Below are 22,991 nucleotides of genomic sequence, written 5' to 3'. Positions count from 1 at the left end.
GTATGGTATTGGAGGCTTTATGTGGGGACTGGTTAGAAGCTGCTACCGAAGCAGCTGGAAACGTTGGTCAATAACTTGGCAAAATTGTCTGCCGTTCAGAAGGCTAGAGCTCTCGCAAGCTCAAAAAGAAGATGAAACTCAGGTTTTGTTATTAACATATTGTTTCAATTCCATTTGTCACTGGTTAGCTTCAAGAAAGTCTGTTTAGTCCCAGTGGAAGCAGCAATGCCAATTGGTACGTTGCAATAGGAGCTTTAATTCTTTATGGTCGTGAAATTCTTTTCTGTTTTAAAACATCCTTAGACCATCTTTGGAAGGCAAATAGTGGCTATTTTTTAAAATCAGGTCTCAAGATGTTTGTTGACTTGTCAAAGCTTTGAAGACATCAGGACCAAGTTTACTGAATGCTGAGAGCATCAGATTCCATTCCCTAAGTATAGCCCTTATCCTTTGGGTCAGATGTTCTCTTGACAATGATGATTGAGAAGTCTTACATCTGTTAGCTGCTTGTCTTTGTTTTTAATGATGAGAAATAGCTATTTAACTATTTTGAAGGAAGAGGCGAGAGAAAGGACAAAGGAGGGAAATGGAACTGTTCCATTTTCTATTGCATGGAATAGCCCCATGATATTCCTTGCCTTTCTAAAAAAAAAAAAAAAGAGTATCCCAGCTCTCTCTACATGACCTTGGGCTTCTTTCTCACCTCCCTTGTGACCATACCCTTCTTTTCTGTTTGACATTTATTTCTCTACTTGACTCTGATAGTAGGCTTTTAGTTTTCAAAATAGTGTCTGCAAAGAACTCATGAACCTGCTAGAGAATTAAGTTCTAACAGCAGTTCCTTGTGCTTGACCACCCCCTCCCAATGCCATCTTTGATGGTGGTGGTAGCTGTTAAAAGGTTTTGTGCCCTCCACACACCTCCTTAATGGTCAGACTATTTGGAACCTGAACAAACCCATCTCTGAAAACTGTTTTGCTTTTCTTTCTCCTTCATTATGAGGTTTATTTACATTCAAAATTATAGAGAGACACTGGAGAAATAGGATGCCTATTGATTTATTTCCAAACTTAGCACAGGATTGGTTAATGCATAGTTGACATTCATTTATGATTAAGTTTGCTACAGCATTTTAAGACCAAGACAATAAATCTGCCTTAGAATAGTCAAGAATACTGATGTTTTGAGCTGTGGTTAGGTAAAAGAATGTAAAAAAATACACTCTCAAATGGATCCCACAGAAGTGTGTATACATATGAGAGAGAAAGAGGGAGAGGGAGGGAGGATGATGATGCAAAAGCAAATGGAGCAAAATGTAAACCATTGATGAGTCTGGGTAAGGGATGCATCAGAGTTCTTTTACTATTGCAACTTTTTGGAAGTTTAAAGTAACGTCCAAATAAAATTGTACCAAAAAAAAAAAAAAAAAAGTATAGGGCAGGGCCACTGTTAGTTCATCTAAGCATGGTTCTACAAAAGAAAAAAGAAGCATCATAAAAAAAGTTTTACTCTGTCATAACCCCAACTTTGAATAGTTCTATTTCCATTATAATGCAGCCTACTTTTAAACCTGATTCTGCCCGTTTCATGTGATCAACCTTAAGAGACAATACCTGAAAATAAAGTTATTAGAATTTTTCTATTAGGTCTGATTTACCTGTGGTCTCATATGCTTGGCTTAAAGCATGATGTTTTGGCAGACCACATTCAACCATGGTTAGGTATCCTCAGGAAGACCTTCAGCCATGACCCAGAGCAGAAGGAATGGCCAGGCTCCCTTCTTCCTTCTGTGCTACAAAAGTAAATACCATATAGTGTTTTAAATGCCTAAGGAAGGGTTATTTGTGAGGTCATATATATATATATATATATATATATATATATATATATATATATATATATACACACACACACACACACATATATACGTATATACATATATACACATATATACATATGTATATACATATATATAATATGTGTATATATATATATTTTGTTTTGTTTTGTTTTGAGACAGAGTTTTGCTCTTGTTGCCCAGGCTAGAGTGCAATGGTGTGATCTCGGCTCACCGCAACCTCTGCCTCCTGGCTTCAAGTGATTCTCCTGCCTCAGCCTCTCGAGTAGCTGGGATTACAGGTGTGCACCACCACACCTGGATAATTTTGTATTTTTAGTAGAGACGGGGTTTCTCCATGTTGGTCAGGTTGGTCTCAAACTCCCAACCTCAGGTGATCCACCCGCCTTGGCCTCCCAAAGTGCTGGGATTACATGCGTGAGCTACTGCGCCTGGCCACGTCTTTATAATTTTTAGTGTAACTTTTTACAAGCGTAAGAACTGTGTTTAGCTGCCACTGCTTTACCCGACTGATATACTTAAGAATAGACTCTCAGGATCTCTTGGCAAGTACAAGCAATCTTTAAAAATAAGAAAGAAGTCAGGTGCCATGGCTCACGCCTGTAATCCCAGCACTTTGGGAGGCCGAGGCAGGAGGATATTTTGAGTCCAGGAGTTTGAGACCAGCCTGGGCAACATAGGGAGACCCCATCTCTACAAAAAACAAAAACAAAAAACTTTGGTGTGGTGGCACATGCCCGTGGTCCCACCTACTTGGGAAGCTGAGGTAGGAGGATTGTTTGGACCTGGGAGGTAGACAGGCTGCAATAAGCCATGATTGTGCCACTGCACTCCAGCCTGGGTGACAGATAAATAGGAAAAAGAAAAATCTAAATTGAAGTTTTCGTGTTATCAGGTAAATAAGTTGCTAGAAGCCAGGTGCCGTGGCTCACGCCTGTAATCCCAGCACTTTGGGAGGCCAAAGCGGGCAGATCCCCTGAGGTCAGGAGTTTGAGACCAGTCTGACCAACATGGAGAAACCCCGTCTCTACTAAAAATACAAAATTAGCCAGGTGCAGTGGCTCACGCCTGTAATCCCAGCACTTTGAGAGGCCGAAGTGGGCAGATCACCTAAGGTCAGGAGTTCAAGACCAGCCTGACCAACATGGAGAAACCCCGTCTCTACTAAAAATATGAAATTAGCTGGGTGTGGTGGCACATGCCTGTAATCCCAGCTACTTGGGAGACTGAGGCAGGAGAATCTCTTGAACCTGGGAGGCAGAGGTTGCGGTGAGCCAAGATGGCGCCATTGCATTCCAGCCTGGGTAACAAGAGCAAAACTCAAAAAAAAAAAAGAAAAAAGAAAAAAGAAGTTGCTAGTGATGATGTAGCAACTCTTAGCACAGCCTGGTCCCAGTGGAGGCCATGCCATATAACTTTTTTTTTTTTTTTTTTTGAGACGGAGTTTTGCTCTTGTCACCCAGGCTGGAGTGCAATGGTGCGATCTTGGCTCACTGCAACTTCCGGTTCAAGCAATTCTCCTCCCTCAGCCTCCTGAGTAGCTGATATTACAGGGACATACCACCACGCCCAGCTGACTTTTATATTTTTAGTAGATTTGGGGTTTCACTAGGTTGGCCATGCTGGTCTTGAACTCCTGACCTCAGGTGGTCTGCCCCCGCCCCCCCCCAGCCTCCCAAATGCTGGGATTACAGGTGTGAGCGACTGCACCCAGCCAACATTTTTTTAATGTTTGTGTTTTGATGAGCTCTGAGAACTTGCGAGTGAATGGTTTTGTCATTTTAAGTATTCTCTGATATAAAGGAAAAAGAAAAACTTTCGTCAGTGAATAAACTCTGAACCAAGTGCTCATGAGGCCATTGAATTTTTACAATCCTTTTTGACTGTATATCCTTAAAATGCCTTCCGTGGGTAAAGTGGACTACCTTCCAGTTGTGTCATTTTGTGTGTCTGCAGCGCAGGTAGCTTGGCTGATTCACCAAAGAAAAAGGAATTGGCTCCATCAGCACTCCCCCCCTGGAGGCAGTGTGGGGTTGCAGGGGTTTAGGATCACAGCCAAGACCGGTCCTAAGACCACTTACTGACCTTGGGCAATTGACCCTGAGGGACATTGCTCTGAGGCCCAGTTTCCCCATCTGTTAAATGAGACACCACTTACCGTGGGTTGCTTGATGCAGTGATTAAATGCCGTAACACTAATGGTACCAGCCAGGCATGGAGAAGTAAGTTAGCCATCTGCTAAAAAATGAAACAGAAAGCCATGCCTGTAATGAAAAGGGTATTGTCACTCATGTCCTTCAGTTGGACTCTTTACTTTGTGCATGAATGACAGTCAATCCTCAGTGTAATTTGTTGAAAGGCTGGAATGAACTTGTGGGAATTGTAAGATTGAGATGTGGCCAGAACTTCCAGGTGATTGGGAGGAGGGGATGGTGGGATGGTGGCATGTAGTGCTAACGTTGATTTACCTTGATTAGGATAGTAATTTACTGCACATTTTTCACAAAAAGGCTAATCAGGGAGTACAGCTGTAAAAGTAATTCACATCTTCGGCAATCTGTATCTTTGTGCTGGCTTGGAAAATCCATGGCTTGTCTTAATTTGTGATGTTTTCTCTTGTTTTATAATCCAGTGACATTTAATTTTTAGGTTCTATTTAATATTTATGTTCTTTGTAAATCTGCAGAGCAAATACCTTAGTGTCTCCCTGCTTAGCCTGATTTAGCAGGGGGCAGATGTTCATATTTCATGATTTGGGTTAAATTTCATTGAAGGCACTCATTCTCCTGGTAGGAGTTTTAGAGTTACTAATTAAATTCTTAACCTCTGGTTCTCTTCCTTTGACATGTGGGAGTGGTTTTTTCAAAATATCCAAGACATTTTCTGACTCATTAACACATCCTTTTTTATTGAGGAGTCAGAGGAATACGCCTATGTTTAGAAAGCCTTTCCTTAGTCAAGACATGAATGAGTCGCACCTGTGTGAAATGATGCCTTGTTTAAAAGGTCATAACCTCCCAATGGTAGTGTAGGAAATGAGGTCATCTTCACTTCTTGTTCAGGGTGAATGAAAGTTAAATTTATTAGTTGGAATAATATATGTGTGGCATTGCTCCTACTGCTAATAAAGATTGTAGCTATGAGGTGCTTGCCCTTCATTTATGAACTGTTACAATGTTAATTTTCTCAATGTCCTATCATTTATAAAAGAAAAACCATAAATTTTAATCAAGTTTTATTTTATTTTATTTTTTTCGAGACGGAGTCTCGCTCTGTCGCCCAGGCTGGAGTCCAGGGGTGCAATCTCAGCTCACTGCAACCTCCGCCTCCCGGTTTCAAGCGATTCTCCTGCCTCAGCCTCCCGAGTAGCTGGGATTACAGGCACCCACCACCACGCCTGGCTAATTTTTGTGTTTTTAGTAGAGACGGGGTTTCACCATGTTGGCCAGGCTGAGCTCAAACTCCTGACCTTGTGATCCATCTGCCTCAGCCTCCCAAAGTGCTGGGATTACAGGTGTGAGCTACCACGCCCGGCCAATAATCAAAGGTTTTAATAGGTAGTATTTTCCAACACTCAGTATTTAGAGTTGAATTGAGATAGTCACTGAAAAATGACTTAGTCTCAGGCTGAAAGTGTATGGCTTTTCACTGCCTTTTACACTTGTTTAAGCAAATGAGAACTTTTTTTTTTTTTTTGACATCCTTCCTGAGATGGAAGAATGTTTATTGAGGCAGAAGAATTTTTGGAAGTCTGACATGTCAGTGTGTATGTGTGACTAGACTCTGGCTTTTAGCCATATGACCTTGGACAAGTCTCTTGACTTTCCTGAATCTTGTTTTCTCTAAAATCATTGGGTCGGGATAATTATCTATAATTTTCTTTCTTTACATCATTTTTTTGTGGGTGAAAGGCCCAGGTATAAAAAAGCTCCATCTCTCCATCTGGTTCTGAAAGTTCTGCTATTATTATTTTTTTCTTTGTGCCCTGGGATGAGGGATGATTTTAATAATCAGAAGATACAAAGAACATAAATGGTGATAGCAAAGTTCCTGGGTTCTAGGGCAGGGAATGTTGTCTTGACACTTTTATAGCCCTTCATCCAAGGAGGCTTTTTATTCAGAGGAGGATTTACATCTTACTCTGCCCATAGCAGGCTGATGACATTTCACACATACTAGGCACTGACTGCATAACTTTTCAGCGAATGCCTGCTTATGATGCAATTAAACATTAACAGTCACCAAGCTGGATTTTATTTTCACATAGTACTGTATTCAGTGACTGTTTGTTGAAGGAACTCACTGATGAATGTCTGACTGACTTTAGCCCTTAGTAAAGGCTTGAGGATTTAATGTGCAGTATAAGGATTTAATTGTGCTATTTCTATTTTGTGTGTAAACTCAGTTTAGTGTCTTACAAAACATAATTAGAAATCTGAAACCTAAGCAGTTTGGCTGAGTGGACCCACTCTCAGGAGGCAGCACTGCCTCAGTTGGAAAAATTGCTTAGGAAATACAGGGGTGCCGAGTGGGGTCTTGAGCCATTTTTCCTGGGGCATAGTAGTGGGCAAGGCAGGTAGCCTGACCCCGACACTTCTTTCTACAACTTACAGTATGTCACAAGGATTTGTGGGCAAGTTAGAAAGTCAACACATCAACTTTCTTGAGAACTTTTCTAAGGAATCGACTGTAGAGAGGCACCTTTTAAAGGCTCCTGGAAATAAACTAGCTTTGGTGGCATGTTCTGAAATTCTGAGCTGGCAAAGAGACTACTACCAAATTATATAGCTCTAAATTTTAAATTTCAGGGGGCCTGGGGCCTGGGGGTGGTGACAGTAGTAATTTGGTTACTTTCTCTGGGCCCAGCTGTCTGTTAACAGCATTCAATAAAAGCTCTGGGTCGGGGGTAAGAGAAATGCATTCAGGTTTTAGATGTCTTTGTTTTTTCTTATATTGTTCACAGCAGCCATTGTTTGATGTCCTGTGACTGAGAAACCAGGCTTTAAACTTTATGCCTTTGGAGATGGAGCCCAAGATGAGCAAACTGGCCTTTGGCTGTCAGAGAAGTTCCACATCAGATGATGACTCTGGCTGTGCATTGGAGGAGTACGCCTGGGTCCCCCCGGGCCTGAGACCAGAGCAGGTAGGAACTTCATCATCCTATATTTACTCTTTGTTTTTCAGTGTGAGTTCAGACTTTAGAACATTATTTTGTAAATGGATAGAACATCACTGAGATGCTGGAATACCACCCTCCTCAGTCCTTATTCTTCTTTGTATGGCTTTGAAGTTTTACTTTTGAAGGTCATATTTAGTTTCTCAATGGAAGTTTCCAATCTCGTCGTACCCATGGTTCCAGAAGCCTCATAAGGATCCCATTTTTGCTCTAATGAATGAAATCCAGAGTACTACATATGCATTGGTTATGTGTATTTCGGATGAATCCCTCTTGAGAGTGAGAGGAATTTCCCTTTTAAAAAACTTCTGTGACAACAAAAAGGCAATAAAAGAAAAGAGAAAAGTTTCCATGCCAGTTCTCAGCAATGCTTTTGCTTTGGAAGCGAGATAGTGAGCTATCAGAAACCCTCTGAAGTGTTACTGCTTAGACGTTTGACCTTTGATAACTTTGCATATAAAAGAGCCTGTCACTTACACCACAGGGATTGGAAAAAAAATTAAAGAGTTAATTTTATGCTTTGTTTGTATTGTTATTTTAGGGAAGATGAGAACATTCCATATGCCTATTTAATTTTCCCAATATCTTTACAATGATTAACTTGTTGAAAATCACTGGCGATATTATTAAAAGAGCAGAGGCATCATTTGAAAATAAAGTTGACAGTGGGGTATGTGGTTGCTTTGCTTCTGATGTTAGGGTTCTGTTTCCTGTAGGGTGGGACGTTTTATGAGAATAGGGTATCCTTATTTATCCATGGCATAGCACAGTACCTGGCACGCATGTAGCTGATATTCAGTAAGTGTTTATAACTGTAAAAAGCTTCTAGAGCTGATAGAATGGGGAGAGGGTGGAGTGCTGGTGAAGCAGTTAGAAAAGCAATATTTTGACAAACTACTTAGAGAGAATCCCTTCTTACAACTTAGAGTGGGTAGGTTTTGTGTGGTACTAAGGTATTGAAGTAGACAGGCCCTAAATTCCTGTCTCCTGTCTTTTTTTTCTTTTATTCCTTCTCAGCTCTGCAGTATCCTTTGCAGTACTCATTAAGGGATGTTCCTTTAAAGACATCAGAAAAACAAACAAGCAGAAATTAAGTTTTCCTTTCAGAGTGAGCAAAGTACAGCTCAATGTGGCTTCTCTCCAGTTTGCCTGGGGAGGCTGACTTCAGGTATTCAGAAAATAGCACTCATGGAAGCAAAGAAAGCTGATGTTTGAGAGAACCTGATAAAGAAGAGTTTACAACATTTAGCAAAACAGCCTTTGTCTTTGTGTTGTGTAAAATTCAGAGAGCAAATTAAATGTGTTCGTGTAGTGGCTGGATTTTGGACCATTTCACACAGTCTGTGTAGTAATTTGCAGGATTCACCCAGGACTCTCTCTCTTGCTGATCTCTTGTCTGACCCCTTGGAAGACTGGCTGAGGAGGAGTAGTCTTTTTTTTTTTTTTGAGACGGATTCTTGCTCTGTCACTCAGGCTGGAGTGCAGTGGCGCGATCTTGGGTGACTGCAACCTCTGCCTCCCAGGTTCAAGCGATTCTCCTGCCTCAGCCTCCCGAGTAGCTAGGATTACAGGCGTGCATCACCACGCCCAGCTAATTTTTGTAGTTTTAGTAGAGACAGGGTTTCACCGTGTTGGTCAGGCTGGTCTCGAACTCCTGACCTCAGGTGATCCACCAGCCTCAGCCTCCCAGAGTGCTGGGATTACAGGCGTGAGCCACACCACCGGGAAGAGTGGTCTTAAATGTGCATATTTTATGGTGCATAATTTATGATGTCCCTAATTGTCACTACAAATTACATTCCTGAAGAGCAATTTAGCAGCTGGGTGCTAGTTATCTGAAGGTTTGCAGTTCTGCTGAGTTGGCTCAGCTGGTCTTCTCATTAGCTACAAGAGGCCAAACCCTGTACCTAGGGAAAGGTAACTTTTAAAGATTAAGTGAGCTGAGATGCTCAGTTCTGTATGTTGATGCCATTCTCACTGTCTCTTTTGCAGATCCAGCTCTATTTTGCTTGCTTACCAGAGGAAAAAGTTCCTTACGTTAACAGCCCCGGAGAGAAGCATCGGATTAAACAGCTTTTGTACCAGTTACCACCACATGATAATGAGGTAAAATAGCAGGAAGAAGGCTAATTAGAAAAAAGAAGAAAAAATGCATGAGAAGCATTGAGATGCTGCTCATAAACCCCAACTCCTCACTGGCGAGGGCTCCCTTTTGCCTTTCTTTAGTTAAAATTTGGCCAGAGAATACAGCTTTCCATTCTTTGAGAGAAAGAGAGAAAAGAGTATCAGTGTAATAAACTTAACACAAGTTGGTTTTTATAGTGTTTGCAGCCACCCACCAATGATCAGGAACCTACAAATTCCTGAGATTTCCCAGCCCCTGCATCCAGAGTGAATGCTTTATGGTCATTCAGGCCTGCAGTTGAGTTGAGTGCATGTAGAATGGAGAGTAAAAGTGGCAATTAACAAGTTTAAACCTTTTGTGGAAAGGTTAATGTCCTATATATATTTTTTAATTCTGTGTTGATAAGGGTTTTCAATTAAACATTTCTTATTTAAAAAAAAAGTATTCCTTCACATTGCATTTCCCTTTTTCTAGAGAGGCTGTAAAATTCAGATATGGTGTCATTTTAAAATCGTGGGGGTGTGACACAGGCGAGCTAAACTTACTGTTTCACTTCCTGAAACCCTAACTCTGGAAGTAGAGAACTGGTGAGAAAGACTGTGCACTCAGTGTGGTGTTTCTGTTTTGCTTTCTGTGAAGGTACGGTATTGCCAGTCTTTGAGTGAAGAGGAGAAAAAAGAGTTGCAGGTGTTCAGTGCTCAGCGGAAGAAAGAAGCACTGGGAAGAGGAACAATTAAGCTTCTGTCCAGAGCAGTCATGCATGCTGTGTGTGAGCAGGTGAGCAGCCCCTTCTCTGATGCGTAGCTTGTGGCAGTGATGTGGATGGGGTGGACAGTCGGGGGTAGGTGACTGGACTAGCAGAGGTGTGGGTCCTGAAAGCCTCCAGAAAATGAGAGAAAGACAGCCTAGCTTTTTATTAAATAGCAAATCATGTTTCATATTTGTAACTAGCTACACTGCTGTGTATGACAGCAGGAGTCAGTCACCCTTATGCAAACATTGGGTGAAATCCTGCCTTTGGTAGGATCCTGGCATGGAGGTAGGTGCTAGGATACATCTCGTATTCAAAAGATGCAGAAACATAATGAAGACATTCAGATCTTTGCTGGCAGTTCTCAGAGTAGGAAATGTATCCAGCAGGAGGCTGGCACAGGAAAACCACTATTTGTGTGAATCAGATTACACCGTCCTTAGAAATAGTTGTAGTATGTCTGAGACACGTGCCTTACAGTGGAGAATCACCAGTAATCCAGCATTAAAGAGCTATTTAATCACTAAAAGAGGTAGCAAAAATAAATACATTCCTGACAAATTCGAGATTTATCCTAAAGTAGGAAAGCCTGAGAATCCTGTCTTTAAAAAATGATCCTTTTACATTCAAACCCATTTGTTTGTAGTGTGGTTTGAAGATAAATGGAGGTGAAGTTGCAGTGTTCGCCTCCCGTGCGGGCCCTGGTGTGTGCTGGCACCCATCCTGTTTTGTCTGTTTCACGTGTAATGAGCTGCTGGTCGACCTCATCTATTTTTATCAGGATGGAAAAATTCACTGTGGCAGGCACCATGCAGAACTGCTCAAACCACGGTGCTCAGCATGTGACGAGGTAAAAAAAAGTTCATCCTTTCACACTGGGAAAAATAAGCTTAGATTAAGCCAATATTCCACTGTTTACATCAAGCAAAATACTAAAATTTCCTGGATTTTGTTCTGTGTGCATGTTTTAAACATAATCCTGTACATTCATACAATGAAATGATCTATATTTGGTTGCTGCAAAAGTAATTGCGGTTTTTTGCCATAATGGTCAAAACCGCAATTAATTTTTCACCTTCCTGATAGAAAGGGAAGCAGATGTCTTTGTACTTTGATAAGTATTATGTCTTCAGTGGGTTGTGAGAAAATACAAGCTGCAGAAGAGCATGTAGTAGATGGTCTCATTTTTGTTAAGAATTTAAAAAACAATATGATATATGTATTTGTTTATGCTCAGAAAAGGTATGGAAAGACAAATACCAAATTAATAGTAGTTACCCTCGGGGAAGGTGGGAATGGATGATGGCTTGAAAGGAAAAATTTTTTCCCTTTAGCTTTTTATTTTAAAATAATTTTAGATTTACAGAAGAGTTGCAAAGCTATTACAGAGAGATCCTGCATGCCCTTCTCCCAGCTTCCCCTGACACTAACGTCTTACATAACCATAATATATGTATCAAAACTAAGAAATTATCAGCAGTGTAATACCATTAACTAAACCATAGTCTTTGTTTAGATTTTCCCAGTGTTTTAACAGATGCTCCTTTTCTTATCCAAGATCAATCCAGGGTGCTTCATTGCATTTACTCGTTGTATCTTCTTAGTCTCCTTCAATCTATGACAATAAACTTTGTTTTTATTTTTATACATTCATTTACTTTATACATTTTTTTCAACAATGTTCTATTTGAACATATTTTTGTTTTTGTTTTGTTTTGATTTATTTTTTTGGGATGGAGTTGCTCTCTGTTGCCCAGGCTGGAGTGCCGTGGTGCAATCTTGGCTCACTGCAACCTCCGCCCCGCGTGTTCAAGTGATTCTTGCACCTCAGCCCCCCGAGTAGCTGGGATTGCAGGTGCCCACCACCACGCCCAGCTAATTTTTTTTTTTGTATTTTTAGTAGAGGCGGGCTTCACCATGTTGGCCAGGCTGGTCTCGAATTCCTGACCCCAAGAGATTCACCTCCCTCAGCCTCCCAAAATGCTGGGAATACCAGGGTGAGCCACCATGCTCCGCTGAACATATTTTGGAAACCAAAAATATAAAAAAAATGAAAGAACCTGCCGGGCTCGGTGGCTCACGCCTGTAATCCCAGCACTTTGGGAGGCCGAGATGGGCAGATCACGAGGTCAAGAGACAGAGACCATCCTGGCAAACATGGTGAAACCCCGTCTCTACTGAAAATACAAAAATTAGCTGGGCATGGTGGCATGCACCTTTAGTCCCAGCTACTCAGGAGGCTGAGGCAGGAGAATTGCTTGAACCCCAGGAGGCGGAGGTTGCAGTGAGCCGAGGTCACGCCATTGCACTCCAGCGTGGTGACAGAGCGAGACTCTGTCTCAAAAAAATAAAAAATAAAAATAAAAATAAAAAAAGAACCAGACTAGACCCCATGGTGAGACCCCGTCTCTGTCCCAAAATGTTTTTCAAATTAGCTGGGCATGGTGGTTGTGCCCTTGTGGTCCCAGCTACTCAGAAGGCAGAGGTGGGAGGATCGCTCAAGCCCAGGAGTTTGAGGCTGCAGTGAGCTATGATTGTGCCACTGTGCTCCAGCCTGGGCTACAAGTGAGACCCTGTCTCAAAAAAATAAAGAGTCCTTAATCTAGAGATGGCCACCAAGTCAAATAAAGCATTATCAACACAAATGCTGTTCACTCAATTCCAGCATCTGTGTAGCTATAACTGTGTTGAGTCCACAGACATTTTTATGAGTTTTCTTTCTACTAAAACACCAAATTATTTCACTAAATTATTTCCGTGTTAATGTGTTCTTTGCCAGATTATGCCAAGAAAATGTTATTGGGGAGCAAAAATATGACCAAATGAATTACCTCCGGTGTAGAATTCTGTTTTTTTAAAGTCAAAGCAAGCATTTATTATTTAGTTTGTTTTCTCAGCACTGTCAATTTATGCTCTAGTTTGTAGCTAAATCAAGTGTTAGATTTAAGCTTGTGACTCTAAGAAACAAGGTTAGCTATCTGATTTTTTTAAGAGCCAGTGTCTGTCCATTGCCCGGAAAACATGCAGTTACTTGGCCTTTAAAATAGTTCCTAATGATTTTCTTTCATTCTCTGGTTTCACATTTCTTTTTGAAGATAATTTTTGCTGATGAGTGCACAGAAGCTGAGGGTCGCCATTGGCACATGAAACACTTCTGCTGCCTTGAGTGTGAAACGGTCCTGGGAGGACAGAGGTATATCATGAAGGACGGCCGCCCCTTCTGCTGTGGCTGTTTTGAGTCTCTCTATGCGGAGTACTGTGAAACCTGTGGGGAACATATTGGTAAGTCCACAGCCAGCCCGTCTGCCCTGTCACCTAGCCATTAGTCTGTCTTGGATTATCCAGTCTTATTTTTTCTTTTTCTGTTTTTTAAAGTTGAGATATAATTTACATACAATGAAATGTACAGATCTTAAATGTTCCAGCTGATGAGCTTTGACAAATGAACAGAGAGTTGATTCTTGTTACTTGCAGTAGTTGTGTTCTGTGACGTTACTGCAAACACTGGATTAGTGAACACTGAACCATTGCTCATGGGGGAATACAGGGTTAGGTTCCTGTGAGCCTCTGGTCACAGCAGTTTCATCAACCCATCAATACATAACCTTGTTTCACGTGTGTTTTTGCTTAAAGCCACTGCCTTATTGAATGTACATTGTTGATGCATTAATATTGAACTCACAGCCAGTGGTACCGTACTCAAGATTAGGAGCTTACGTAATACATGTCTTTTCTCTGTAAGGCACATCACAGCCTTCTTGCCCTTAGCAACATGACAGCATTTCAGCATTATCAGCATTACACTTGGGGGCCATTTTAAACAGTAAACTCACCAACAAAGAGCACAAAAATGCAGAAAACGCGGCAGTAGATAGACCAGAAATAGGACACTTGTCTACAGTATGAGAGCTGAAACAAAAAGCTGAGCATCTCCTGGATCAGTGCATGTTGGTTCAGTTCGTATTTTTACCACTCTGCACATCTGCGAATGACCATGAAACTGTTGCGAATATTAGTTTGGGAGTTGTGAATAAATTTTTATGAGTAGGCACACTCACAAATACAGAATCCACAAAGAATGAGGATTAATTATATCTGTGTCACCCACACAGCTCCCCCATACCCATAATCTTTATTTATTTTCTTCGTTTCTTCCTTATACCTTGTTTCAGGCATTAAACCATAACCTGTTATTTATTCTATCCTTTTCAAAACAGGTGTGGACCATGCACAGATGACCTATGACGGGCAGCACTGGCACGCCACGGAAGCCTGCTTTTCTTGTGCCCAGTGTAAAGCCTCTTTGTTGGGATGTCCCTTCCTTCCCAAACAGGGTCAGATTTACTGCTCAAAAACGTGCAGTCTTGGTGAAGACGTCCATGCCTCTGATTCTTCCGACTCTGCATTTCAGTCAGCTCGATCAAGAGACTCCCGAAGAAGTGTCCGAATGGGCAAGAGCAGCCGGTCAGCAGATCAGTGTAGACAGTCTCTCCTCTTATCGCCTGCTCTGAACTACAAGTTTCCTGGCCTCTCAGGCAATGCTGATGACACCCTTTCTCGAAAATTGGATGATCTGAGTCTCTCCAGACAAGGAACAAGTTTTGCCAGTGAAGAATTTTGGAAAGGCAGAGTAGAGCAGGAAACTCCAGAAGACCCTGAAGAATGGGCTGATCATGAAGATTATATGACGCAGCTCCTCCTCAAGTTTGGTGATAAAAGCCTCTTTCAGCCACAGCCCAATGAGATGGATATTCGAGCCAGTGAGCACTGGATATCTGATAACATGGTTAAAAGTAAGACCGAGTTAAAGCAAAATAACCAGAGCCTTGCAAGTAAAAAATACCAGTCTGATATGTACTGGGCACAGTCACAAGATGGACTGGGCGATTCTGCTTATGGCAGCCACCCAGGCCCTGCAAGCAGTAGAAGGCTTCAGGAATTGGAACTGGACCATGGGGCTTCAGGGTATAATCATGATGAAACACAGTGGTATGAAGATTCCCTGGAGTGTCTGTCAGACCTGAAACCAGAGCAAAGTGTTCGGGATTCGATGGATTCTTTGGCATTGTCCAATATCACAGGTACGTAATCTAGGGATTATGGGGTATTTGAAAAAAGGAGCTACTAAAAAGTGTATTCAAAAAATTGCAATTCAAGCCAGGCGCAGTGGCTCATGCCTATAATTCCAGCACTATGGGAGGCTGAGGTGGGCAGATCATTTGAGGTCAGGAGTTCGAGACCAGCCCAGGCAACATGGCGAAACCGCGGCTCTACTAAAAATACAAAAATTAGCTGGGCATGGGCCTGTGATCCCAGCTACTCGGGAGGCTGAGGCAAGAGAATTGCTTGAACCCAGGAGGCAGAGGTTGTAGTGAGCCAAGATTGCGCCACTGCACTCCAGCCTGGGCAACAGAGCAAGACTCCATCTCAAAAAAAAAAAAAATTGCAATTCAGCATGAGTAGGAGTTGTGTGTTATTCAAAACCATGGATCAAGGGAAGGAAGGAACCTCACTTAAATACCAAACACTAGCAAAACAAACACATGTGTGAGGTGAGTGCATGTGCATAAAATATATTTACAGTGCAGTCTTTAGGGATAGGTTTTATTACCCTGTTTTGAAGAGAAGGAAATTGATTGGAGGAAGGAGTGTACAACTGGATTGTGTCTGAAAGATATTGTACGCTTGAATTATTCTGTATGTATTCTAAGATACCAAAATTGGCCCACACACTTTACAAGCTCTTTTTTTTTTTGAGGTGGAGTTTCGCCCTTGTCGCCCAGGATGGAGTGCAATGGCGCAGTCTCACCTCACTGCAACCTCCATCTCCCGGGTTCAAGTGATTCTTCTGCCTCTGCCTCCCCAGTAGCTGGGATTACAGGTGCATACCACCATACCTGGCTAATTTTTGTATTTTTAGTAGAGATGGGGTTTCGCCATATTGGCCAGGCTGGTCTCGAACTCCTGACCTCAGGTGATCCACCCGCCTCAGCCTCCCAAAGTGCTGGGATTATAGGCATGAGCCACCACGCCTGGCCACAAGCTCATTTTTTTTTTTAAACATCTTCCTGAATTTCCCTGTGACAGTAGCTCAAAAACAGCTGAATACTTTTTATTTAGATTCTAAAATATTACTGTAATGTTTTCTTTTTTTTCCTAGTTTTTTGTTTTGTTTTGAGATGGAGTTTCACTCTTGTCACCCAGGTTGGGGTGCAATGACGCGATATCAGCTCACTATAACCTCTGCCTCTCAGGTTCCTGAGTTTAAGCGATTCTCCTGCCTCAGCCTCATGAGTAGCTGGGATTATAGGCGCCTGCCACCACGCCCAGCTAATTTTTGTGAGACAGGCTGGTCTCAAACTCCTGACCTCAGGTGATCCACCTGCCTTGGCCTCCCAAAGTGCTGGGATTACAGGTGTGAGCCACTGCCCCTGGCCTACTTTAATGTTTTCAAAGCACAGTCATACCAGTTATCCACATTTTATCTTTAAAATGACCCTGAGCTATATAGAGTGGATGATATGATTGCATTTCACAAATGAGGAAACTTGAATTACCAAAAGGCTAAATGCCAAACATTACATAGGTTCTAAAGGCAAGATTAGGCCTAGAACCTAGGACATTATGCAAATTATTTGCAACAAGTCTTTGGATTATAGAAATGTTGCTGTTGCATGGCTAGTTTTATAGTCAAACTACTGACATCCAGCCCTTTGATGAAGGTAATGCTTCTGTAATGTAGACAGGAAAGGCTTAGTAGCTGCTTCCTGCCAGGAATAACTTGTGCCAGACACTGCAGTGACAAGGAAGGGTACGGCAAAGCTACCCCCCCGGCTTCTGTGGACTTGTCAAAGATAAGGCCGGCAATAAAGGGGAGTTGAGGAAGAATGGTGGGTGAGACTGAGTAAGCACCTTTTGTCTGCCAGGCCCAGTGCTAGGAGTTTTAAATTTAATATCAGAAATAGACATAATTTGGCCAGGTGTGGTAGCTCACACCTGCAGTCCCAGCACTTTGGGAGGCCCAAAGCAGGTGGATCACCTGAAGTCAGGAGTTCGAGACCAGCCTGGCCAACATAGCAAAACCCTGTCTCTACTAAAAATACGAAAATTAGCCAGGCATGGTGGCATGTGCCTGTAATTTCAGCTACTCGGGAGGCTGAGGCAGGAGAATCACTTGAACCTGGGAGGCGGAGGTTGCAGTGAGCCGAGATCATACCACTGCACTCCAGCCTGAGTGACAGAGCAAGACTCTGTCTCAAAAAAAATAAATAAAAGAATTAAACATAACTTGGTACACATTTAAGTGTTAGGGGCTGACATTCCTTGACAATAATAAGCTGAAAAATAGGCCCCCTTTAAAAAGTATGAAGTTATATAGGGCCGGGCGCGGTGGCTCACACCTGTAATCCCAGCACTTTGGGAGACCGAGGCGGGCAGATCACGAGGTCAGGAGATCAAGACCATCCTGGCTAACACAGTGAAACCCCGTCTCTACTAAAAATACAACAAATTAGCCAGGCGTGGTGGCGCATGCCTGTAATCCCAGCTACTCGGGAGGCTGAGGTGAGAGAATGGCATGAACCCAGGAGGCGGAGCTTGCAGTGAGCTGAGATGGTGCCACTGCACTCCAGCCTGGGCGACAGAGCGAGACTCCATCTCAAAAAAAAATAAGTACGAAGTTATGTAGTCTCCAGTTGACAACAGTATCACTTTGTCTATAGGGCTATATGTATTTATCTTAACATGCCTGGGTCCTATTATATCAAAAGAGATCAATATCTGTTTTGTTAAATGTTTCAATAGAAGATTAATCTGGAAGTGGCATATTTTACACGTTGAAGGCAGAAAAGACTGGATGAAGATCTAGGTCAGGGGTTGAGCAAACCTTTTCTATAATGGGCTCGATAGCCCTTTTTAGGCCTACGGTCTCTGGTGTGACTACTTAGCTCTGCCACTGTAGAAAGCAGCTATAAACAATATGTAAACAAATAGGTGTGGCTGTTCCAATAAAACTTGATACACAAACAAGCTGTTGAGCTGTAGTTTGCTGACCACTAGCCTCAGTATAAGATGAGGAAGACTAGCTCATGATGGAGACCAAGGAGGGACTGATGTGAAAGATCTCCAAATGAAGCAGTGTGGCTTTAATGAATTGAGGAGCAGAAGCTTCTACATCTTATGTTAATGAATGAACAGGCTGCTGTGAAGAGCTCTTAAAGTTTTGCTGCTCATGCCATGTGCCGTAACTACTTAACTAATCTTTGACTCCAGGCTTATAAGAGAACCTGTGCCCCAGGCCAGGTGCAGTGGCTCATACCTGTAAACCCAGCACTGTGGGAGGCCGAGGTGGGTGGATCACCTGAGGTCGGGAGTTCGAGACCAGCCTGACCAACATGGAGAAACCCCGTCTTTACTAAAAATACAAAAGTAGCCAGGTGTGGTGGCACATGCCTGTAATCCCAGCTACTCAGGAGGTTGAGGCAGGAAAACTGCTTGAACCTGGGAGGTGGAGATTGTGGTGTGCCGAGATAGCGCCATTGCACTCCAGCCCGGGCAACTAGAGCAAAACTCTGTCTCAAAACAAAACAAAAAAACAAAACAAAAAAGGCTGTGCCCACCCCTTATAACAATAACTGCATTTATACCACTTCTCAATTGGCATAGATACATGTTGGCTTTCCCTATGGGTTTTAATCAAATATTGAGATTGGAAATTTTCTTTGAAATATTTCCTTTCAGTAGCTTACTTTTAAGTACTGTCGAATATTAGGATGATTGAGAAGCACATCTTGTTTTGGCCTCTCTTCTAGGGGCTTCGGTGGATGGAGAAAACAAGCCAAGGCCATCATTGTATTCTCTGCAAAATTTTGAGGAGATGGAAACAGAAGATTGTGAGAAGATGAGCAATATGGGAACTTTGAACTCTTCCATGCTGCACAGGAGTGCAGAGTCCTTAAAGAGTCTAAGTTCAGAGTTGTGTCCAGAGAAAATCCTGCCTGAAGAGAAGCCAGTACATCTGCCAGTGCTCAGAAGGTCCAAGTCTCAATCCAGACCCCAGCAGGTCAAGTTTTCTGATGATGTCATTGACAATGGGAACTATGACATTGAAATCCGGCAGCCTCCGATGAGTGAAAGGACTCGGAGACGCGTCTACAATTTTGAAGAGAGGGGATCCAGGTCTCATCACCACCGCCGCCGGAGAAGTAGAAAGTCCCGCTCCGACAATGCCCTGAATCTTGTTACAGAAAGAAAATACTCTCCCAAGGACAGACTGCGGCTGTACACCCCCGATAACTATGAGAAATTTATACAGAATAAAAGTGCCCGGGAGATCCAAGCATACATCCAGAATGCTGATCTCTACGGACAGTACGCCCATGCCACTTCCGATTATGGCCTGCAGAACCCAGGAATGAATCGGTTTCTGGGACTCTACGGCGAGGATGATGATTCCTGGTGTTCTTCCTCCTCCTCCTCTTCCGACTCGGAAGAAGAAGGATATTTTCTTGGACAACCAATCCCTCAACCCCGGCCACAGAGATTTGCCTACTATACAGATGACCTTTCTAGTCCACCATCTGCACTTCCCACCCCTCAGTTTGGTCAGAGGACAACAAAATCCAAGAAGAAAAAGGGACACAAGGGCAAAAATTGTATTATTTCTTAACCAAGTAGTGATGCAGAGCATTTGTTTAAAACTTAGCCATTAACCGTCTGAATCGTTTCCTTTTCTTCCGTAGGAAAGTTGTGAAAATAGTTTAAAGTGCTTTCTTTGCCCATGTAAATGAGAACTCAACTGCTGTTTACAGTGTCAGATTAACATTTGAAAGGTGTGATTTCTCCAATTTACCCTCTTTGGATGGTGCCAGGTGGACGTGACATCTCGTGCCTGTCCGGTGCGGGTGCGTTACAGATGGACGTAGCTGCTTTGGTTTTCCAGTCCTCAAGGGAATACTGAAGATGCTGACTGAAGGGGATTGGATGTTGATTTTAGAAGATGGAGAACTCCAGCCACCTTTGTAAAGCACTAGTGTTTGTCATTTATGTAAGTCAGGTCGGCTCAGGTCTTGATAGTCCGTCTTGGTGTGAGGCATGCCTGTCACGATGACCTAGCTAACACTGTGCATCTTATTGTGAGGCCAGCTTGTCCCCTCGAACCCTCTTTGGCCAGGTAAACATTGTATTGTATCAGCGCCAGCTACAGATTGAAAAAAAAAAACAAAAAACATTGCTATTTATAACTTAGTATTTCATAGACTTAAGTGTATTCCTAATTTAACGGTGCAAATATTAATGTATATACTGTACAGTTCAGATTTTAAAGCTGATATTTTTATATCCCTGAATTGTAAGCCGTTTGTTACGCTGCAGTGCTAGATTTGCCAGGGAACCAGAATTTATGGATGAACTGATTGCTTATATTTTAGTCAGGGTTTATAAATGTAGATGGTCAAATTTACATTGCCTAGTGATGGAAAATTCAACTTTTTTTGATTTTTTTTTCCAATATTAAAAAAGGCTCTGTATGCATGGTGGGGCTATGTAAGTACTCTTTAAAACTATGGCCCTATTAATCTTACAAGTGTTACTTATGGGTCAAGCAATGTAAACTGTATAAATGTAAAAACAACCCCTCCACACACATAACCCCTGGAATATATGGTAAAAACAAGTAGAAGCTGTTTCAGCGAGTGGGTTTTTTCCCCCTGCCTGCGGGGGGTGCCTTTCTCATTTTCAGCAAGGTGATGATTATCTCATGGGAAATGACAAAGATCTGCTTTTGTGGCAGAGGACTTTGTAGATTTGTTATTTTAAGAGAGGTTATTCCTTTTTATTCCTTCCCTCCCACTAATTTGTTGGCCTTTAACAGCAATTTTGAAAACTGGGTCTTCTGGTTATGTTTTTGTTTTAAAATCTTTAAATTAGAGGATGCTGTGCCATTGAGTACTGTAAGTTAATATGAGGTTCTGGTTCAAGGAAAACTTACGTTGGATCTGAACCAATGAGCAGATATTTTGATATGTGCCACTCTTGCATATACATCTCAGTCCTAACTAAAGGTTCTAGTGGCATCCAGGACCTTTAGGGAGGCATTTAATAAACACTTAATAAATAACAAAACTACCTTTCTGAATATAAATCTTTGCAAATGTATCCAGATAACTTCCATTTTGTGCCTGTGTTCAGGCATGATTTATTTTGCAGTTGCCCTACCATTAACAGACCTCCATTTGTCTCGTGTGTCCACACGCCCCACTTGTAGGCCAGAAATAGGGCTTCAGACACAGAGGCTTATTTTTTCCATATAGACTGGAGTGGGGAAAATTTGGCCTTAGGGAGGACAGACACAAGTCCAATGGGTAAACCAGCGAGTAGTAGGTGGACAGCCGTCCCACACAAGGGTTTGTATCTGGGCTACACAGATTCCCTTCAGAAAAGCACCAATGGTGAGAGAGTTCTTCACTCAGTAACTTACATTCCCTGGTCTGGTGCCTTTAAAAAACCATCAGCAATGAAAAGGAAGTGCATACACATGACAAAAAAATTCAAATAGGGCAAAAGTCAGAGACAGCATCTCCTTTCCATTCTTCATCCCAGTCCCCCAGGTCCTCTCCCCAGAAGTAACCACTCTTACCCAGTTTTAGTGTCTCCTTCAGACATTCAAAGCACATTCGTATAAATGTGTCTTTTAAAAGTGGTAGTGACCTATATGTGCTGTGACATGCTTTTTTCCCTTTGTATGTGGACATTTCACGTTAGTGCATATAGGTCTACCCATTCTTTCAGTGACTGCTTAATAGCCTACTCCTAATGATGGAGTTGACTTTCCTCATACATTATGCTACACTGGCACATGTGCACATAAATCGGGAGCAGCGTAGTTACTGGGACAAAGGTTACGTATTTAAGACTGATGGATATTGCCAATTTTCCTCCAAAAGAAATTCTCCTGATTTACATTAATGTAATGTAAATGAGAGTGTTTGTTCCATCACAACCTCTCAATGTATTAGCAGATTTCTTGATTTTGAAGAAATTTTCAGAACCTGTGCTGCCACAAGTGGGCATCCTTTTAGAAAAGACTGTTGCAATATGTTGCTTATAAAGGATGGATAATAAATAGTAAACAGGTGATACTTAGCCTGAAGAAATGCAGGTATAAGGTGAAGGTACTGCCCTCACTTTTCAAGTACATTCTCAAAAGATAGGGGTAACATAGCCTGCCAAAGGCTTAAGGAAATGCAGATATTTATTCACAATAATAATGTGACTTTCTTTTCCTTTTTTTTTTTTTTTTGAGATGGAGTTTCGCTCCTGTTGCCCAGGCTGGAGCGCAACGGCACAATCTCAGTTCACTGCAACCTCTGCCTCCCGGGTTCAAGCAATTCTCCTGTCTCAGCCTCCGGAGTAGCTGAGATTACAGGTGCCTGCCACCATGCTCGGCTAATTTTTTATATTTTTAGTAGAGACAGTGTTTCACCAAGTTGGCCAGGCTGGTCTCGAACTCCTGACCTTCAGGTGATCCACCTGCCTCAGCCTCCCAAAGTGCAGGGGATTACAGGCATGAGCCACTGCGTCTGGCAATAATGTAACTTTGAAGCTTAAAAATTAATCCCAGTTTGTAGCAATAACAGAAGACTATCTACAACGGAAGAAAGAAGCAACTGCCTTACAGTTCTGTAAAGAATTGGCAAGAAAATAAAGCCTATAGTTGCCGACTTAGTCTATTCTCACATTACTACAAAGAACTGCCGAGACTGGGTAATTTATAAAGGAAAGAGGTTTAACTGACCCAATTCCACATGGCTGGGGAGGGAGGCCTTAGGAAATACAATCATGGCAGAAGGGGAAGCAAACACGTCTTACATGGCAGCAGGTGGAGAGACCCTGTGAAGGAAGCAGAGGGGGAAGAGCCCCCTTATAAAACCAACAGATCTCGTGAGAATTCACTATCATGAGAACAGAGTGGGGGAACCGGCCCCATAATCCAATCATTTCCCTCCCTCCACAGGTGGGGATGACAATTCGAGATGAGATTTGGATGGGGACACAGAGCCAAACCATATCATTCCACCCTGGC

General features: G+C 42.3%; 1 protein-coding gene across 17 annotated transcripts in view, besides 5 other annotated features; it reads left to right on the top strand.

The window, feature by feature from the left end:
• The window catches only part of PRICKLE1 (prickle planar cell polarity protein 1), a 132,990-nt gene extending 110,361 nt beyond the window's left edge, over positions 1 to 22,629 (top strand). For 11 of the 17 annotated variants that reach the window (NM_153026.3, XM_017018840.2, XM_047428327.1 and 8 more), the window contains 7 exons: positions 6,822 to 7,001; positions 9,027 to 9,140; positions 9,799 to 9,936; positions 10,557 to 10,760; positions 13,006 to 13,192; positions 14,128 to 14,991; positions 18,721 to 22,629. In NM_153026.3, the coding sequence (NP_694571.2) occupies positions 6,870 to 7,001; positions 9,027 to 9,140; positions 9,799 to 9,936; positions 10,557 to 10,760; positions 13,006 to 13,192; positions 14,128 to 14,991; positions 18,721 to 19,577 (2,496 nt within the window). In that variant the 5' untranslated portion in view covers positions 6,822 to 6,869 and the 3' untranslated portion in view covers positions 19,578 to 22,629. The remainder of the gene's footprint in view (positions 1 to 6,821; positions 7,002 to 9,026; positions 9,141 to 9,798; positions 9,937 to 10,556; positions 10,761 to 13,005; positions 13,193 to 14,127; positions 14,992 to 18,720) is intronic. The other 6 variants (XM_011537947.3, XM_047428334.1, XM_047428333.1 and 3 more) reach the window with 1 other exon arrangement.
• Positions 119 to 208: an enhancer, noted in NCBI's record as "active region_6215". NCBI's record gives its function as "activates an Ori minimal core promoter by ATAC-STARR-seq in GM12878 lymphoblastoid cells {active_cell/tissue: GM12878}" and the evidence as "EXISTENCE:reporter gene assay evidence [ECO:0000049][PMID:35858748]".
• Positions 3,976 to 4,045: an enhancer, noted in NCBI's record as "active region_6214". NCBI's record gives its function as "activates an Ori minimal core promoter by ATAC-STARR-seq in GM12878 lymphoblastoid cells {active_cell/tissue: GM12878}" and the evidence as "EXISTENCE:reporter gene assay evidence [ECO:0000049][PMID:35858748]".
• Positions 9,723 to 9,772: an enhancer, noted in NCBI's record as "active region_6213". NCBI's record gives its function as "activates an Ori minimal core promoter by ATAC-STARR-seq in GM12878 lymphoblastoid cells {active_cell/tissue: GM12878}" and the evidence as "EXISTENCE:reporter gene assay evidence [ECO:0000049][PMID:35858748]".
• Positions 9,783 to 9,882: an enhancer, noted in NCBI's record as "active region_6212". NCBI's record gives its function as "activates an Ori minimal core promoter by ATAC-STARR-seq in GM12878 lymphoblastoid cells {active_cell/tissue: GM12878}" and the evidence as "EXISTENCE:reporter gene assay evidence [ECO:0000049][PMID:35858748]".
• Positions 13,422 to 14,621: an enhancer, noted in NCBI's record as "BRD4-independent group 4 enhancer chr12:42858567-42859766 (GRCh37/hg19 assembly coordinates)". NCBI's record gives its function as "activates an origin of replication core promoter dependent on BRD2, P300/CBP, MED14 and CDK7 cofactors, and independent of BRD4, by STARR-seq in HCT116 cells {active_cell/tissue: HCT116}" and the evidence as "EXISTENCE:reporter gene assay evidence [ECO:0000049][PMID:35650434]".

The sequence above is a fragment of the Homo sapiens genome, chromosome 12 (assembly GCF_000001405.40).
Source record: "Homo sapiens chromosome 12, GRCh38.p14 Primary Assembly".
Lineage (NCBI taxonomy): Eukaryota > Metazoa > Chordata > Mammalia > Primates > Hominidae > Homo > Homo sapiens.
This window is presented reverse-complemented; position numbering and strand designations above follow the sequence as displayed.